We start from the raw sequence: 19,973 nt of genomic DNA, 5'->3' as shown, positions 1-19,973 counted from the left end.
GAAGCTGGGTAGTCCCTCCTGCAAATGTGATTACTGATTTAATTACAGTGGGAGCATGCAAATGGGACTTGTCACTGTTAAAGAAAGGACAAATGCATATTTGTCTACTAAGAGTTTTTCAGGACATTGAAAATTTGGCCCTTAAAAAAATAAATGGCCAGGCGCAGTGGCTCACGCCTGTAATCCCAGCACTTTGGGAGGCCAAGGCGGGCAGATAACCTGAGGTCAGGAGTTCGAGACCAGCCTGGCCAACATGGTGAAACCCCGTCTCTACTAAAAATACAAAAATTAGCTGGGTGTGGTGGTGCACACCTGTAATCCCAGCTACTTGGGAGGCTGAGGCAGGGAGGATTGCTTGAACCTGGGAGGAGGAGGTTGCAGTGCGCTGAGATTGCTCCACCACACTCCAGCCTGGGCAACAGAGCGAGACTCCATCTCAAAAAATAAAAATAAAAGTAAATAAATAAATGAATGAATGTAATAAATTTTTAAGTGAGTTTAGGTCTTGATGCTTTCATAGAGCAGATGATATGCTCACCTAGGTGATCTGGCCACATCAAGGCCTGTGTTGTAAATGATAAGTGGGTTCTGAGATTCTCCTTATTACAAGTTTTCTAAAATTAGCCCTTCCAAAAAGGAACTGATACTTGAGAAAGATTCCATTAGAGTATGGTTTTTGGTACCAAACCTGTCAGAATCACAGCAAACCTTATGAGGGGAAAGCATAATGATTTAATACAGCATCACTTTGAAGCTCCCATGAACTGTTTCTAATCTCCTGTCTCTTCCAAAGAGACAAGCGCAATAATGGGGGGAAATTTTCTGCAAAGGAGATTGCCATCAGTTTCCCTCAAAGGAAAAATAATCAATCTATCCTTAATATCAGGACCCATCTCTTTGTTTTATACTATTTCACATCAATTTGTTTGAAATGAGAGAATTTAGCATATTCCTTTGGTGCCTGTGTTAAAATAACTAAAGTTTTGGGGTCCATTGTTAATTACAGAGAAAAGTGAGCCCTCAAACCTTGCTGTGGCGTGGCCTCAGATCACATTTAGGGAGCAGATTGCCATCTTTTCCTTGGCATGTTCTAAGTGTAAGTTTTTTAGTATTTATTTTTCATTTTGACAATGCCTCATATAAGAGATTGTGTTGATTTTTTTAACCATCTTTCCCAACCTTATTATTAAAGATCCTACCAGTGTGACAGAGAGAGCTAAGCCAGTGGAGACTTCATGCAGCTCATCCTTCCTTATTCATTCCATATCTAAGCAAGAGTATAAATTTGCTAGGTAACTGCCTTACTCATTGTTTTCTATTAAGGAATGCCTAAACGCCTCCCACCTGGCTTCTCAGCAGGACAGGCCAATCCGAACTTTATGCAAGGTCAGGTGCCTTCGACCACAGCAACCACCCCTGGGAATTCAGGAGCCCCTCAGCTGCAAGCAAATCAAAATGTCCAGCATGCAGGTTTGTTTTCTGTGATTTGTTTAGCCAGCATTTATTGAGCATTGTGTCGTAGACTTGATAGACAACAGGAGTATACAGATAAGTAATAAGTCTTGGTCTCTCCCCTTAATTTCAAGCCCATAAATAATTATTCTTTCAGGGCAGTAACTTTTGTCAATATATCAAAAGTAGGTAAAATGTCACAGGAACTCAGAAACATCTAAGAGGAGATGGAACTTGAGTTAGAGCAGGAATCAGCAGTATTTTTTTTCTCTGAAGGGGCAGATAGTAAATATTCTTGGCTTTTCAGGTTATATAGTCTCTTGTTGGAGCTACTCAACTTTGTTATGATAGCACAGAAAGTAGCCATAGACAATACATAAACAAACAAGCATGGTAGCATTCCAAACACTTGTTTATTTACAGACCAGCAGAGGGCCATAGTTTGCTGACCCCTGAGTTAGAGCTTGCTCAGGTAGTAAAAGGCAAAAAGGCATTTCTGGCAAATGAAAACCACAGACACAAAGGCATGGAGGCATGTTTGGACAACTGCAACTTTTTAAATCTCTACGTGGTACATGTTAAGCTTTGTTTATGCTGAGTGTCTGAATTCTGGTTTACAGTGTGATATTTTTCAAACTTCATCAGTTCACGTTTACTACCAACAGTGTACTGCAAAAAGAAGAAATTTTGGAGAGGAAATAAGATACAGGGGAATGGCTAAAAAGTATTTGCAAAGCAGTAATGTATAAGCTCAAACTTCATGTTTCTGGTTGCTTAAGGACCACATGACTAATCCTCTTACCCTTTCTCATTGAAGCAGTTTGGACTGAGATAGTGCAACTAGTTTCTGAATTCCCATCCCTCCTGGAGTTAATTTAGTAATGTGACTCCAACTTTAATTGTAAATCACTAAGGAATGAGACAAAAATCTGACTTTTACAAAAAAAGTTCACACTATTTCTGGCAGGGTAACAGAAGGGTAGTGCAAACTGCTTGAATTTCTCTATCTGCTAATGCAAAACTGCATTCCTGAGTTATATGAATTCATGTTTGTTTTTTTTTTATTTTGTTTTGTTTTTTGAGACGGAGTCTTGCTCCGTCGCTCAAGCTGGAGTGCAGTGGCTCAATATCGGCTCACTGCAGCCTCCACCTCCCAGGTTCAAGCAATTCTCTGCCTCAGCCTCCTGAGTAGCTGGGATTACAGGTGCCCGCCACCATGCCTGGCTAATTTTTGTATTTTTAGTAGAGACGGGATTTGACCATGTTGGCCAGGCTGGTCTTTGAACTCCTGACCTCATGATCCACCTGCCTTGGCCTCCCAAAGTGCTGGGATTACAGGCATGAGCCACTGTACCCAGCAAATTCATGTTTTTTTATAGGAAGTTTTAAAACAGGCCAGGTGCGGTGGCTCACGCCTGTAATCCCAGCACTTTGAGAGGCCGAGGCAGGTGGATCACTTGAGATCATGAGTTTGAGACCATCCTGACCAACGTGGTAAAACCCTGTCTCTACTAAAAATACAAAAAACTAGCCGGGTGTGGTGGCGGACGCTTGTAATCCCAGCTACTTAAGAGGCTGAGGCGGGAGGATCACTTGAACCTGGGAGGCAGAGGTTGTTGCAGTGAGCTGAGATCACGCCACTGCACTCCAGCCTGGGCGACAGAGAGAGACTTCATCTCAAAAAAAAAAAAGTATGTTTTAAAACAATGACAAAGTCATTTCTCATTCTTGTACCCTATCACAGCTATTTTGTGTTTTTATATGGTACCTTCCACATGTACATGTTTTTTGTTTGTTTTCTTTGTGTGTGTTTTTTTTTTTTTTTGAGATGGAGTTTTTGCTCTTGTGCCCAAGCTGGAGTGCAGTGGCGCAGTCTCGGCTCACTGCGGCCTCTGCCTCCCAGGTTCAAGCGTTTTTCTGTTTCAGCTTCCCAAGTAGCTGGGATTACATGCCCTGCTATTTTTTTAATTTTTAGTAGAGATGGGGTGTCACCATGTTGGCCAGGCTGGTCTCGAACTCCTGACCTCAGGTGATCCACCCACCTTGGCCTTCTAAAGTGGTGGGATTACAGGCCTGAGCCACTGTGCCCGGCCCACGTGTACATGTTTTGGTTTCCCCATTTATCCTATCTAAAGTAGCTCTACTCTTATCTCTTACTTTCTCTTCTCTCACCCTACTTTCTCTTGTTAGCTTTTACTGCTTCCTGAAAAAATACTTGTCTGTTTGTTAGTTGTGTCTCTTGCCAGTTAGACTGTAGGCTCCAAGGATGCAGGGATTTGGTCTGTCTTGTTTATTGATGTTACCTCAGCACCAAAGTGCCTTCTATGTATCAGGTACTTAATGAATAATTGTCAGTTGAATGAATATACACAGTATATTTATTGTATACAAGCATATACAATGGTCATGGAGTTCCACTTTGAGTTTATAAGGCTGGTTTAGAAAATCTTCCTTAGAGTTCAGGAGAAGTCTGGATAGTGTGAACAAGGTAGTTTGCCCCCTGCCTTCATAGTTGGAGCATGGACTGGCTTCATAACTTCATTGTAGGGGATTTTCTAGTCCCCATTTAAAAGTGAAAAATAAGGCCAAGTGCGGTGGCTCAGCCTGTAATCCCAGCACTTTGGGAGGCCAAGGCGGGTGGATCACCTGAGGTCAGCAGTTCGAGACCAGCCTGACCAACATGCTGAAACCCTGTCTCTACTGAAAATACAAAAATTAGCCGGGTGTGTTGTTGTGCGCTTCTAGTTTCAGCTACTGGGGAGGCTGAGGCATGAAAATCACTTGAACCCAGGAGGTGGAGGTTGCAATGAGCCGAGGTTGCACCAGAGCCAGATTCTGTCTCAAAAACAAAACAACAAAAAAAGTGAAAAATAAAAGGGACAAAATTAACTACAAAGTTATTCAGTTAAACGGGGAGATAATGCAAGTAGCTATAGGAAAATCCCAAAGACCCAGTAAATAAATAAGCACTACAGCAAGGCGGGTAGCAACTTTTGTCTAAGTTAGAAATAGCTGAGAAGACTAAAACATGTGCCACATGATTCACCAGGGACTGCGCAGGAGAGGGTCACTGAGGTTTTATTATTCCTCTATTTGCAGCTTCCAGATGGGTCATCTAGTCAGTTGGCTCCCACCAGAGGCTCAGCTTCCAGATCAAGATTAACTGCTTTTTACCACATCAGGGCAGAGGACACCTGTCCTTGGTGTTATTTTCTTTGAAGTGCAGCATCCACATATCACACACATAGCTTTTGAGAGTCATTATTATTACAGTTTTCCAAGAAGCATTTTTAAATGTCTTCTCATGATTGTTGAGGTTTTCCTAAGAGGACACTTCACATTCTTTTTTTTTTTTTTTTTTTTGAGACGGAGTCTTGCTCTGTCGCCCAGGCTGGACTGCGGACTGCAGTGGCGCAATCTCGGCTCACTGCAAGCTCCGCTTCCCGGGTTCACGCCATTCTCCTGCCTCAGCCTCCCGAGTAGCTGGGACTACAGGCGCCTGCCACCGCGCCCGGCTAATTTTTTGTATTTTTAGTAGAGACGGGGTTTCACCTTGTTAGCCAGGATGGTCTCGATCTCCTGACCTCGTGATCCACCCGCCTCGGCCTCCCAAAGTGCTGGGATTACAGGCGTGAGCCACCGCGCCCGGCCGACACTTCACATTCTTATAGCAGAGTTATTTCAGTAGCCCATAGTGCTTTTTGAATTTAATTTAATTTAATTTTTTGAGACGGGGTTTCACTCTGTCACCAGGCTGGAGTGCAATGGCATGATCTTGGCTCACTTCAACCTCCACCTCCCAGGCTCAAGCAATCCGCCTGCCTCAGCCTCCCAAAGTGCTGGGATTACAGGCATGAACCACCCGAGCCTGGCCACTACAAGTCATTTTAAAACAGTGAGATGCTGCCTTTCTCATTATTTAATCTGAAAGAAAGTAAACTTTCTTGATCTTTGAAACGTTAAATCTTTAAGATACCATATGGGAATGTAGAAACTGTTTCTCCTTCTCTATTATATGGTCATTGGGAATGTAAGCAGTTATCCCACAGCCACATCTTTGTAGTTTAGAAAACTCACAGGAAGTATGTCAACAGCATATTTATGTTGGTCAGTGGATATAAGGGTGATGGATGTCTTTCTGAGTAATGTAACTTGAGTATCTTAATACCAATAAGATAAAAATATTTATTTCTGAAACTGTGACTTTTTTTTTTTTTAAGGTGGTCAAGGAGCTGGTCCTCCTCAAAACCAGATGCAGGTGTCCCACGGGCCGCCAAATATGATGCAGCCCAGCCTCATGGGAATTCATGGCAACATGAACAATCAGCAGGCTGGTACTTCTGGGGTTCCTCAAGTGAACCTCAGCAACATGCAAGGCCAGCCCCAGCAGGGCCCACCATCTCAGCTGATGGGCATGCACCAGCAAATCGTGCCCTCCCAGGGCCAGATGGTCCAGCAACAAGGAACCTTGAACCCTCAGAACCCTATGATCCTTTCAAGGGCCCAGCTTATGCCACAGGGCCAGATGATGGTGAACCCCCCGAGCCAAAATCTTGGGCCCTCGCCCCAAAGGATGACCCCACCCAAGCAGATGCTTTCCCAGCAGGGCCCACAAATGATGGCGCCACATAACCAGATGATGGGGCCTCAGGGGCAGGTTTTGCTCCAACAGAACCCAATGATAGAGCAGATTATGACCAATCAAATGCAGGGGAATAAGCAGCAGTTTAACACTCAGAACCAGTCCAATGTCATGCCGGGACCAGCCCAGATAATGAGGGGACCAACTCCAAACATGCAAGGAAATATGGTGCAGTTTACGGGACAGATGTCAGGACAGATGCTGCCCCAGCAAGGGCCTGTGAACAACAGTCCATCTCAGGTTATGGGCATTCAGGGACAGGTCCTGCGGCCACCAGGGCCCAGCCCACACATGGCCCAGCAGCATGGTGATCCTGCTACTACAGCAAATAACGATGTCAGTTTATCTCAGATGATGCCTGATGTTAGCATTCAACAAACCAACATGGTCCCCCCTCATGTGCAGGCCATGCAGGGAAACAGTGCCTCGGGAAACCACTTCTCAGGCCATGGGATGTCTTTCAATGCACCTTTCAGTGGAGCTCCCAATGGAAATCAGATGTCCTGTGGTCAAAATCCAGGCTTCCCAGTCAATAAGGATGTCACGCTAACGAGCCCATTGTTGGTCAACTTATTGCAGAGTGACATATCTGCAGGCCATTTTGGGGTAAACAATAAGCAAAATAATACCAACGCAAATAAACCGAAGAAGAAGAAACCCCCTCGGAAGAAGAAAAATAGTCAGCAAGATCTAAAGTAGGTTGTGATGGTTTTGCCTCAAATTTTATTCATTTGTTTTCTGTGTGGATAACTTTTTTGATGGAAAATTTTACAGAATATAAAACTAGAATAGTATAATGAAATCCCCCTGCTTCAATAATTATCAACTCATAGTCTGTCTTGCCTTCATCTGTACTCTCTTCCATTACCCTTTTGAGTATTTCAAAGCAAATTCGCTGGGTAAATATTTCAGTGTGTGTCTCTAAAAGATAAGGACACTTTTTAATATGCCCGCACAATATTGTTAGCACACCTAGAAAACTAATACTTCCTTAGTACTCTCATATCCAGTGTTCAAACTTCCCTGATTATCTCAAATTTTTTTCTTACAATTTGTTCAAATAAGGATCCAAACAAGATTCATATGTTGCAATTGGCTGGTATATCTCTTAATTTTACAGTGTCGGGGGGTTTTGGCAATCAGAGCCTGAAAAGTAACCAGTGCTACCATATGGCAACTCCACAAAGCACTGACTTTAGGCTTATGATGGCTATTGGGGAACCAGAGAGGCCAAATGTGTTTTGGAAATTAAAACTACTGCTGTCTCTCAAATAGAAATGGTTTTTTTGCACAGGTGCCTTTCCTTTAAAGGCTCTTTATCATCCCTAGAAGCTTAAAACCCCACGCTAAGATGATTGGACCTTTTAAATCAGTTACCCTTTCAGTAAACGTTCTCCAGGTGAGTTATTTTGCAAGATCATAGCAGGAAAGGCAATTAACAATTTATATTTCATTTCCTGAAGCTAAGTATTAATTTGTGTTTCTGGGTTTGATAAAATGTTTCCAGAAGGAATATTCACTGAGCTATATTTTGTGCCTTTAATCATAAAAAAATAATAAATGAGGAAATAATGGCTAATGAATGTAAAACAGGTTAATTGAAATAAATTGTTAGAATTATAGAAAAAGAATCAAGAAACTTTATTTCAACCAGCTTAAATATTCAAAATTAAACCAACTACCTTTATCCCAGCCTTCCCACAACATTCTTTGTACTGTATTATATCATGCTCACTTGCCTCTTCTTGAATCTTATGCTTTAAAAGCTAATCATGGTGTATTATTAATGATAACCTATATTTTCCTGAATTCAAAGTTAATTATCTAATTTTTCTGATAGCTCTTTCTCAGTTAAATTCTTTACTAGCATCAACCTATGGGAATAATTATTTAATAAATATTTTATTCTCTCGGTAGTCTGGGAGTAAAATTGCAAGGTTATTCAGTTGCCTCTAGTGTGTATTTTTTGCCATCTTCACCAGCCCTTAGGGAAATTGGTTACTTAGGTCTACAAATTGTGAAAGGGACCTTACACAGCATCAGGACTCCCAGGAAAGGGAGACAGTGGATTTACAGGAAAAGTACCTGCTTCCAGCTCTACCACTACTTCACTGTGGAATCTTGGGCCTGTTTCATACACCTTTTTGGGCCTTAGTTTTCTCATTCATAACATGATGGGGCTGGACCAGATATCTGAGATTTCTTATCTCTACAATTTTCTGAAAGTAAAGGTTACCACTGAATTCTTGCCTGTAATTTAAAGTGAGAGAGAAGTCTTACAAGGAGCAAATTGTTATAGGTCTGGATGTGCTGACGATCTGCTTCAGGTTCTAAATTTCCATTTGCTGGGAGGCTTTTAAAGTGGATTTTTGTGGCTTATGAAACTGTACAGAGTATAATGAGACAAAACACTACCTAAAAGTGGGTGAACAAAATCAGGGCAAAGGGAAACTAAAGATAGAAAAGAAAAGTACAATTAGTACTGAGATTACAAACAAAATGAGGCCCGTGACCAGTCTTGTTCTTTGAGAATGTGGGTGTTAGTAGCTACAATTTCTTCATTTTTTTCTTCCTTACTAAAAATTTTAAGCTACACCCAGGTAAAAGCAAAGGCATCTCAAAGCAAATAGAGATGTCTGCAAATTCTCATTCTGCAGCAAAATCTTTGTGGTGGTGGTCTCAATCTTTCTTTGTTCTCTGAATACCATCAGCCAACCTATACAACCTTTTGCAAGGTGTTATGAATTGAGCCCCCACTGTTATATCCACAAAAAAGAAACAATCAGACCCCCTAGTTGAATTTGATCGCTACATTGAAGATAGTGTGGTTTCACAGGAACAGTACCTTGTAACATTGATAGTCCTATGATCAGGTCTTAAAACAGCTAAGGAATGGGTGATTACATGAAAATTATTGCACCAGGAATTTGTGGAAAGCATTCTGAGTAAATACAGTGCTGTTAGATTAAATGGATTTTAACATTTAATGAAATTGCCAGATTATTTTTATGCCAATATTTAATATTTTATCTAGACTAGAGAGAGATGAATAATGGTAATGCAAACATTTTAGTTCTTCAGAAATAGGGGAAGGGTTAAGCTAGTTTTGTGTATTTTCTATACAACTTATTCTAAAATATGTCACTTTTTTTTTTTTTTTTTTTTTTAGCACCCCAGATACTCGCCCAGCTGGTCTGGAAGAGGCTGATCAGCCACCGTTGCCTGGAGAACAAGGAATTAACTTGGATAACTCAGGCCCTAAACTGCCAGAATTTTCAAACCGGCCACCAGGTGATAAAATGTTAGCTAGATTATATACTTATTACATGTGCATGTGGCATTACAAGGCTTCCATGTCTTCAAGGAAACAATAGTATTTTATTTTATCTGCTAACTAGTCTACTTCAGTGATTTAATGTGTCTGGTATTTGGAAGCTTTGCCTTGATATTAAGTAAAAATTTCAAATATAACTTTTGAAGGCACATACACACACACATTCTATTCAAATTTGTCTTTGTTATTTTAAGTCCTCATAAAATCGGACTGAAATGTGGTTGGGCATGATGGCTCATCCACCTGTAATCACAGCACTTTGGGAGGCCAAGATGAGCAGATCGCTTGAGCGCAAGTGTTCAAGACCAGCCTGGGCAACATGGTGAAACCTTGTCTCTACTAAAAATTTTTTAAAAATTAGCCAGGTGTGGTGACACGCACCTATAGTCCCAGCTACTCAGGAGGCTGAGGTGGGAGCATCACCTGAGCCCAGGAAGTCGAAGTTGCAGTGAGCCATGATCATGCCACTGCACTCCAGCCTGGGACCCTGTCTCAAAAAAAAAAAAAAAAACCATGAAATGTGAAGTGCCTCTTTATTCTTGTCAATGTCAAGATTCTAGTTGGCATCAGAACAGGATAAGATTAAATGGAGAGATGATTTCACTCTAATCCTGCTTGCCTGCCTTTCCTGCAGCGTTTCTTCCTGGGGCTTCTCAAAGCAGGGAACTACCAGGGTTTAAAACAAGATGATCTTTTTTATAGAAGTTTCATTAATGAGTCTTTAAAATATAAAGAAGATATAAAGAATAAAAGAGACACCCATGTATCTACCACATAGGTTAATAATTTATAATAAATAGGACCAATATTGGAAGCCCCCTTTGTTGTATCCTCTCTGATTATAAAATAATACTATCCTTTAAATGTTGAAAAATTATGTCAAAGATGGAAAAGCTCCTAAAATTAATTCATTCAAACCTAGATATTATAGAACCAAGGCCAGCTGCCACAATATCTCTATACCTGGTTATCTTGGCCTGAGCAATGACTTGTAACTTTATTCCCCTATGACACGGTTGAAGATACACAACCCTTCACACTTAGGCCACTCTCCCCTGTGTGTACAGAGGGTATGTTTTGTTTCTTCCTCACTAGTTATTTCAACTTCTTTTTGGCATGAAAATGAGAGCGACATTATTTTAGGAGTAACCTTTAATCTACCCCTAATTTATGTATTTTAAAATTGAATCCAAACAAAAAGCTAAATCCATCATGATATCAATACTTTGTGTTATTTATTACAAATTATTTGGGCATATCACACTTCCCGTCAGTGAGATGCAGCAGCATAGCTGAGACTGGGAGGTCATCAGTCTTTGGGGAGTATGTCCAGAAGGCATTGAGAGCAGGAACATGCCTGCTTGCCTCAGACACATCTGAACTCTTCTTATAAGAATCCCAGGGGTCTTTGTATACATTTATTGCCTTCTTTCTGCAAACTGGGGGCCTGCAGGCTGAATTTGGCCTATAATGGTTTTGAGTTGCTATGCAGTGTCTTAAACAAAAGTCCGAGTTTAAATGCCTTTAAATAGGGCATCTGCTCTGCAGTTTGGCACTGTTGACAGGACTCCTGCTGTCTTATACCAGTCCACTTCTATTCTCTACTACCTGCCTGGCCCCTAAAGGCATAGGAGTTTGCATTCCCTGAGTAATAAATTCAGTTTGTGATTGTGTTATGGGCACTATGTGTGTCCTGGCTTTCCCTCTTCACCATTCTGTCACGTCAGCCCCAATCTGTCTTATCATTAGTGCCTTTTGGACTGCTGCCTCCAGCTTCTGGACTCTGTAGCAGCCATGCCCTTAACTGTTACTTTTGAGAGGCTGCTATATTGTCTATGCTGTCCTCTTTGGTATTTACTGTCTGGTGGGCTGATTTTAAAGATAAAAGGCATCCATGTCATAACCCTGACATCAACAGGCTTTTGTAGCAATTACAAATTTCTTAATGTGGGAACCCCAGACTGAATGTGAAAAATAGGAACCCACTGTATTTGACTATGTAGTCGAAAGGACAGTTGAACCATAGAAATGCCATGTTATTGGCTTTATAAAGGTGAAGAAGTTACTCGGGCCTAAAATAAAAAAGGATTTTTTTAAAAATCTTCAAAACTGGATTCTACACATTGTATTCATTGATACCATGGAAATCTTTGGCCAGAAGACATTAATTGAGTGCTGAGTCTGACCCACAAAATTTGGTAGCTGCTCTATGAAAATGTTGAGTCAGCATTTCTTTTGACTGCCAGAGCCAGTTGTTCTTATTCCTACACCTTCTTAAAACCTCCCTAATGTACTCTTCATGCAACAATGGAATAAATCTAGTTTGTGGAACTGGAATTGTATCCCATATATGCCCAGCTGTATGCCCACTTTTTCCCACAGAACCACCGTTATTCTTGGTTTGCGTATCTTTTTATCTTTTCTGATTGTAAGGTTTTGGTTCTAAAATGCCAAGTAAAATCTTCACAAAAAAAGAGAATAATTTGAGATGTTGCCCTCTGCATATCTAGAAGACATTGTCCTTCAGAGTTCTTTTCCCAAAATTATTTTTTATTCCTGAGGGCTATGCTTCTGCCTTACTTATTCTCCAGCTGTGGATTCATGGAAAATATTTCTCCAAATAGAGATTTGCATGTAAGAAAGTAAGTGCAAATTAATATCCATAAAAACTTCAATGCCCTAATTTTATTTTCAATGTGTATATCAGCTTCCATTAGCTCCTACTGTTTATTAAACTGATTTACACCTGAAGGGCAATTTTAATTCAGTCGGTTTCCCCCAAAGGATTAAGCCTGAAGGATGCGGCGTAGTGTATGGAGCCAATGAATTGGAATAATTTTAAATTCCTCTTTCTTAAGGAACTGAATCCTAGAATTTTATATTTTACTTCTGTTGAAAGAATAAAAAGGCTGTCTTCAGTGCTGTTATTTTCAACAAAACCACATCTTAAAAAAATTATTCCTGTGCTAACAGAAGAAGTGAATCCTAAATGCTTTACTTCATTCACAAGTACATTGAAATATTGATTATGACTACATGAGACCTGAATCTTGGGTGGCCAGGCACTTGATGTTGATGGAGTTTTTCTCATTTCATCTGAATGTTTGGCTGGTATAGACACAGCCATTTTCAGTGCATAGCACAGAAAATCAGGCTCTTAGTACAGTCATGGCTCATTCAGATCCTACACACCGAGGAGCTCCAGGTTTTTTGATGCTTTGCTTTTTGCTTCCTTAAGCACTGTGCCCCTTTTGCTTATGTCAAGTAATGAGGGGCTGCCCCCTGCCCCAGGAGTGGGCATGCCTGAGCTGTTTGTGCATAGTCTGTGCCACCTAGATGAGTATTGCTTGGCTATACTCTAAAGGTAGCAACATTTTCTTGCTGAAAAATCTAACTTCCCTAATTTGGGGGGCTTGTTTTAGGTTATCCTTCTCAACCAGTTGAACAGAGGCCACTTCAGCAGATGCCTCCTCAACTCATGCAGCATGTGGCACCCCCACCACAGCCACCACAGCAGCAGCCACAGCCACAACTGCCTCAGCAGCAGCAGCCACCACCTCCCAGTCAGCCACAGTCTCAGCAGCAGCAGCAGCAGCAGCAACAAATGATGATGATGCTCATGATGCAGCAGGATCCCAAATCAGTTAGGCTTCCAGTCTCTCAAAATGTCCATCCTCCAAGGGGCCCCCTGAACCCCGACTCCCAGAGAATGCCCATGCAACAGAGTGGCAGTGTGCCTGTCATGGTCAGTCTGCAAGGACCTGCCTCCGTGCCACCATCACCTGATAAACAAAGAATGCCAATGCCTGTGAATACTCCCTTGGGAAGCAATTCAAGGAAAATGGTCTATCAGGAGAGCCCGCAGAATCCTTCCAGCTCGCCACTGGCGGAGATGGCCTCACTCCCTGAAGCAAGTGGCAGTGAAGCACCATCTGTCCCAGGAGGCCCAAACAACATGCCTTCACATGTAGTACTTCCCCAGAATCAGTTAATGATGACAGGGCCAAAACCTGGACCATCGCCCCTTTCAGCAACTCAAGGTGCAACTCCCCAGCAACCCCCTGTAAATTCCCTGCCCAGCTCTCACGGCCACCACTTCCCAAATGTGGCTGCGCCAACCCAGACATCTAGGCCCAAAACACCAAACAGAGCCAGCCCCAGACCCTATTATCCTCAGACACCCAACAACCGCCCTCCCAGCACAGAACCTTCAGAAATCAGTCTGTCACCAGAAAGACTCAATGCCTCCATAGCAGGACTCTTCCCTCCACAGATTAATATTCCTTTACCTCCTAGGCCAAATTTAAACAGGGGCTTTGATCAACAAGGCCTAAATCCAACAACTTTGAAGGCCATCGGGCAAGCACCTTCAAATCTTACCATGAATCCTTCCAATTTTGCTACCCCACAAACTCACAAATTAGATTCTGTGGTAGTGAATTCTGGAAAGCAGTCTAATTCTGGAGCAACAAAACGGGCAAGTCCAAGCAACAGTCGCAGGTCTAGTCCTGGGTCCAGTAGGAAAACCACTCCAAGCCCTGGGAGGCAAAATTCAAAAGCCCCTAAACTTACTCTGGCCTCTCAGACAAATGCAGCCCTATTGCAGAATGTGGAGTTGCCGAGAAATGTATTGGTCAGTCCCACTCCTCTGGCCAATCCCCCTGTACCTGGGAGCTTTCCTAACAACAGTGGGCTGAATCCTCAGAATTCTACTGTGTCTGTGGCTGCAGTTGGGGGTGTTGTTGAGGATAACAAGGAGAGCTTGAATGTGCCTCAGGACAGTGATTGCCAGAATTCCCAGAGTAGGAAGGAACAGGTAAACATTGAACTAAAAGCAGTCCCTGCCCAAGAAGTTAAAATGGTTGTCCCTGAAGATCAGTCCAAAAAGGATGGGCAGCCTTCGGATCCTAACAAACTTCCCAGTGTCGAAGAGAACAAAAATTTGGTGTCTCCTGCTATGAGGGAAGCACCAACATCGTTAAGTCAACTTCTTGACAACTCTGGAGCTCCCAATGTGACAATTAAACCCCCTGGGCTTACAGATCTGGAAGTAACACCTCCAGTAGTTTCTGGGGAGGACCTCAAAAAAGCATCTGTCATTCCCACACTGCAGGATCTGTCTTCTTCTAAAGAACCTTCTAATTCCCTAAACTTACCTCACAGTAATGAGCTGTGTTCATCCCTTGTGCATCCCGAATTGAGTGAGGTCAGTTCTAACGTTGCACCAAGCATCCCTCCAGTAATGTCAAGACCTGTTAGCTCTTCCTCCATTTCCACTCCCTTGCCCCCAAATCAAATAACTGTATTTGTCACTTCCAATCCCATCACAACTTCAGCTAACACATCAGCAGCTTTGCCAACTCACTTGCAGTCTGCATTGATGTCAACAGTTGTCACAATGCCCAATGCGGGTAGCAAGGTTATGGTTTCTGAGGGACAGTCAGCTGCTCAGTCTAATGCCCGGCCTCAGTTCATTACACCTGTCTTTATCAATTCATCCTCAATAATTCAGGTTATGAAAGGATCACAGCCAAGCACAATTCCTGCAGCCCCACTGACAACCAACTCTGGCCTGATGCCTCCCTCTGTTGCAGTTGTTGGCCCTTTACACATACCTCAGAACATAAAATTTTCTTCTGCTCCTGTACCGCCTAATGCCCTCTCCAGTAGTCCTGCTCCAAACATCCAGACAGGTCGACCTTTGGTCCTTAGCTCACGAGCCACCCCTGTTCAGCTTCCTTCCCCTCCTTGTACGTCTTCTCCAGTTGTCCCTTCTCATCCCCCTGTGCAGCAAGTGAAAGAATTGAATCCAGATGAGGCTAGCCCTCAGGTGAACACCTCAGCAGATCAGAACACTCTTCCCTCTTCACAGTCAACCACAATGGTTTCTCCCCTTTTGACCAATAGTCCAGGGTCCTCTGGCAACCGGCGAAGCCCAGTCTCGTCTAGTAAGGGCAAAGGAAAAGTGGACAAAATTGGCCAAATTTTGTTGACCAAGGCATGTAAGAAAGTTACAGGCTCTCTTGAGAAAGGGGAAGAACAATATGGTGCAGATGGAGAGACTGAAGGCCAAGGGCTAGACACCACAGCTCCGGGGCTCATGGGAACAGAGCAGTTATCCACAGAGCTGGACAGTAAAACCCCAACGCCCCCAGCACCCACTCTGCTAAAAATGACCTCTAGCCCTGTGGGCCCGGGCACTGCCTCAGCAGGACCCAGCTTACCTGGCGGTGCTCTCCCCACCAGTGTACGCTCGATAGTAACCACTCTGGTACCCTCCGAGCTCATCTCCGCCGTACCGACCACAAAAAGCAATCATGGTGGCATAGCATCTGAGTCACTTGCGGGTGGCCTAGTGGAGGAGAAGGTGGGATCCCATCCAGAACTTCTACCCAGCATAGGTATGTACTTGGGGCTTCATCATCTCTTTGTGTCAGTTTTTTGATGACCTAATCCCACAAGAGAAAGCATGACTCCTTTTTTACTTGGAGGAAAGAGAATGGGCTAAATGGCAATAGCAGTAGTTTTATTTATTGAAAGTACGTTGGAAAATATGCTTTTAAATCCCATGTTAAGTTTGCATTCATTAAAGAGAGCTAAGGGCCAGGTGCGGTGGCTCACGCCTGTAATCCCAGCACTTTGGGAGGCCGAGGTGAGTGGATCAGTTGAGGTCAGGAATTCGAGACCAGCCTGGCCAACATGGTGAAACTGCATCTGTACTAAAAATTCAAAAATTAGCCAGGCATGATGGCACACACCTGTAATCCCAGCTACTCAGGAGGCTGAGGCATGAGAATAGCTTGAACCTGGGAGCAGAGGTTGCAGTGAGCTGAGATCATGCCACTGCACTCCAGCCTGGGCAACAGAGCGAGACTCTGTCTGAAAAAAACAAAACAGAGAGCTAAGGCTCTCAAAACAAAGAGTTCCTGAAATAATGATACCTTTCATTTATATAAGTTTTTCAATTTATAAGGAAGCATTTTTACATATGTTGTCTTGCATCATCTTTATACCAACTATGTCAGATATTCTTAACCCCATTGTATGGGTGAGAAGATTGAAGCTCAAAGACGTTCAGTGTTTGTTCAGAGTCTATACTGTGAACCTCCCATTTAACACTGTGCCTTAAGTGTGAACAGCAGCTTCTGCAGATTCTCTTTACCAGGGTGAAGATTTGCTCATGACTATTTCAGAACAATGGGTCCTCATAGCCCCATTCTCACTGTACTCTATCTCAGGAACCATTCTTTTTTTGTCTGGGCTACTCTAGAGGAGAGCTGGAAGAAAACTGGGTTTCATGATAATGGACACAGTAGAAACAAAGTGGTCAAGAGCCAGTAGGCTTGGGTTGGTATTATAACACCAGCATTTACCAGCTATATGGGCTTGGGCAAGTTACTTGACCACTCCAGACTTTGGTTTCCTCCTTTGTAATATGGAACAATAATAGTTGTAAGAATTCAATAAGGTAGTACATATAACATTCTTAGCACAGAACCTAGCATATAATTATTATTCAATAAATGGTAAAAATTGTTATTCCCAGTTTCTTTTTGATGTAATCTCTTTGTTGATTGGTACATTCCATTTGTGTATCTAGTTCAGGCTATTTCCTATGTACTGTTAAGATGGGCTAATGATGGAAGCATAGGTGTCCTTACAACCGCCCCTCCTTCCCTTCTTCCCTTCCCTGACATGTTCCTCCTCCTGTGAGGCTTAAGTGAAGAAGCTCTATTTCCCCAGAGTGGAGTCAGTCACACACTGCTAGAGCTGGGAAAGACCTTTACGATATCCTAGGCCAGCTAATTAAGTGCCTATCTTATTTATGCAGCTAAAATGCTTCGAGTGCCTACCACTGAGTGGTAAGCACCCAGGAGGAGAGGCAGAAAGAACACAAACTTCAGGGTAAGATCAGAGTTCAAATTCTAGCCCACTGGTTACCAGTTACAGTTGATACGTTCCTTAACCTCTCCTAAGCCATGTATTTCACTTGTAAAATGGAGATCGTACATTCTACCTCCCAGAATTTAGGATTCTGAGAGAGGACTCAATGAGAAGATTTGTCAAGTGGCCAACACACTGCCTCACGCAGAGCTCTGGAAAGGTTAATTCCCCTTCTCTCTGCCTCTTCACCTCAGTGTTAGAGAGATGGGGGCAGGATAAAGGCCTTCAAGAAGTCTGCTGCTCTTACAAGAGACAGTCTTCACAAGACTGGGTGCTTATTGTATATTGTTCTAGTTCTGTTGGTGTAGATGAACCCTAAGAATTAAAAGGGAACCTGGTGTAAATTAAGTATATCCTTCACTATTAAGTATTTCCATTTCTCCTTCTTTCAGGAGACTTTTCCCTCTGGTATCAAGAGAAAAATGATGAAGTAATTAGAAATTATTTTTATCTGGATCATATATTATACTAGAGAAATATGTGGGCCTTGAGGAGATGAACCAGCACTTGGGAAAAGTTCTCAATTTTAGTTAAGAACACTCACTTTGCTTATAAGTGATTGTTTCTGTTCTTTTTCAAGGGGCTTCTGTGCTTTTACTTTGAAAATATGAGAAATTGGCCAGGCACGGTGGCTCATGCCTGTAATCTCAGCATGTTGAGAGGCCGAGGCTGGTGGATCACTTGAGCCCAGGAGTTTGAGACCATGCCGGGCAATGAGGCGAAACCCTGTCTCTACAAAAAAAATATGTAAAAATTAGCTGGGCATGGTGGCATGCACCTGTGGTCCCAGCTACTCAGAAGGCTGAGGTGGGAGGATTGCTTGAGCCCAGGAGGCGGAGGTTGTGGTGAACCGAGATCCTGCCATTGCACTACAGCCTGGGCAACAGAGCAAGGCTCTGTCTCAGGAGAAAAAGAAAAGGAAATTTGAGAAATGAACACTAAAGTTAAAAGTAGAAGTTAAGATATAGTTTTAAGCTTTATCAGATAAGCATCCAAAATAAATTCTTAAACACAAATGCATAATTTACTGCTTTGCTAAGCAGGGAGGGAAATATACAAAATTCAGTTTCCACAAGAGAGTAAAACATGTTGTTGCAGAGTTTATCTAGGATTTTAGACTGAGATGTCAAGATGTGACTGTGGCATATCCATGCCATAATCTTTATCTTCCAGGATGGTTCCCTTCTAGAGGGCATTACATATTTTATTCCATTCCTTAAGGGCCTAAGTTCTCTGTGTCCTTTGAAGCCTGATTCTGATGTTTCTCCCTTTAATGTACCTTCAGATTTCTCAACCTAGAATTGCTAACTCTTGCTTTGGACTTTTGTAGTATTTTATACTTTGTGACTCCTTCATATGACATCAGAGTGCACTCAAGTGCACTACATGTATATATCTTATCTTTAATACTAGACTGAGTTCCTGATGTGCAAGAGGATATAGTTTGGTCTCTCAGGGTACCTGGCACAGTGCCTTGCCCCTAGTAAGTTCTTTGCAACTATTTGTTAGATAAGTAAATAACATATCAAATTTATTTATTTATTATGTATGAATTGAATGCCTGCTTTATGCCCATCACTTTTGCTAAGTGCTATAGAAAAGTACAAAATTATGTGACCATTTCCACTCTCATAGAGTATAGTCTTTAGGGAGTGAGGCTAGATTTTTTAAATGCTGAGGGGAATGGTATAATTGTACCTCTATGGTTTGGGTTGCCTACTAAGATATGCTTTGGGGCTTTTTCAAGTAGTGGTCAGGACCTGACCCCAAGAAGCAGAAAATGTGAGTGCTATGTTCTTATAGCCATCTCTTCCCCTTATTATTATACATACAAAAAGGAAGAGCCTATACCCCTAAATGGTAGTCATTGGTACTGGGTGTTATGGTAATTAATTTTTGTAGTAAGTTTTAAAATGTACTTGTAATTTCGAGGCCAATTTTGAGTACTGCCCTCTAAGAGTACATTGTTTCAGCAGTTACTTAGCCCTTGATTAGGTTAATGCTTTCTTTTTGTTTAGAAAAGAAAGTAAAAGGTCTGTAATTTTTTTTTCCTTGCCTTAGCCCCGTCGCAGAATTTAGTCTCAAAGGAAACTTCAACCACAGCACTGCAGGCCTCTGTTGCCAGACCAGGTAAGGCGTACTTTGGAAAAACTTCTTGGAGTGGGATGGGTTACATGTGAAGGAACTACTGCTGTCCTCAATGTCGTGTGTTCTTATGCCAGGAAGTGACAGGAACTATTTTATCTGTTTGCTTCAGAGCAGACTTTGGTTGAGTGACAAAGCTTGTGCAGTTCTACTTGAGATTATTTTCCCCCCGACCAGCTTGCTCTCTCATGCATTCATAGTGTCAGCTAGGGAACTCAAGAAGGGCAATTCCGTGCCCATTGTCTGTCTGCCACCCAGCCATGGGTTTCTGTTGCAGAGTTTTCCCTGTTCTGTGACCCTGGCACCCATGGTTGGCAGCTGAATAGCTGGCATATGGTGACTTACTGGGCTGGCAAGCATTAACGCACTTTGTAATTTTATTATGACAGTAGTGGAGTCTTGTTCATTGAGTCTCTGCCACAATGTGATAGCCATTCCTCCAGGGAGGCAGAGTCA

At 42.4% G+C, this 19,973-nt stretch overlaps 1 protein-coding gene across 37 annotated transcripts in view; it reads left to right on the top strand.

The window, feature by feature from the left end:
- Window positions 1-19,973, top strand: part of NCOA6 (nuclear receptor coactivator 6) — a 110,878-nt gene that overhangs the window by 69,460 nt on the left and 21,445 nt on the right. For 8 of the 37 annotated variants that reach the window (XM_047440057.1, NM_001438233.1, NM_014071.5 and 5 more), the window contains 5 exons: window positions 1,324-1,470; window positions 5,673-6,789; window positions 9,264-9,385; window positions 12,851-15,829; window positions 19,434-19,502. In XM_047440057.1, the coding sequence (XP_047296013.1) occupies window positions 1,324-1,470; window positions 5,673-6,789; window positions 9,264-9,385; window positions 12,851-15,829; window positions 19,434-19,502 (4,434 nt within the window). The other 29 variants (XM_047440059.1, XM_047440054.1, NM_001438235.1 and 26 more) reach the window with 11 other exon arrangements.

Source organism: Homo sapiens, chromosome 20, assembly GCF_000001405.40.
Source record: "Homo sapiens chromosome 20, GRCh38.p14 Primary Assembly".
Taxonomy (NCBI): Eukaryota; Metazoa; Chordata; class Mammalia; order Primates; family Hominidae; genus Homo; species Homo sapiens.
This window is presented reverse-complemented; position numbering and strand designations above follow the sequence as displayed.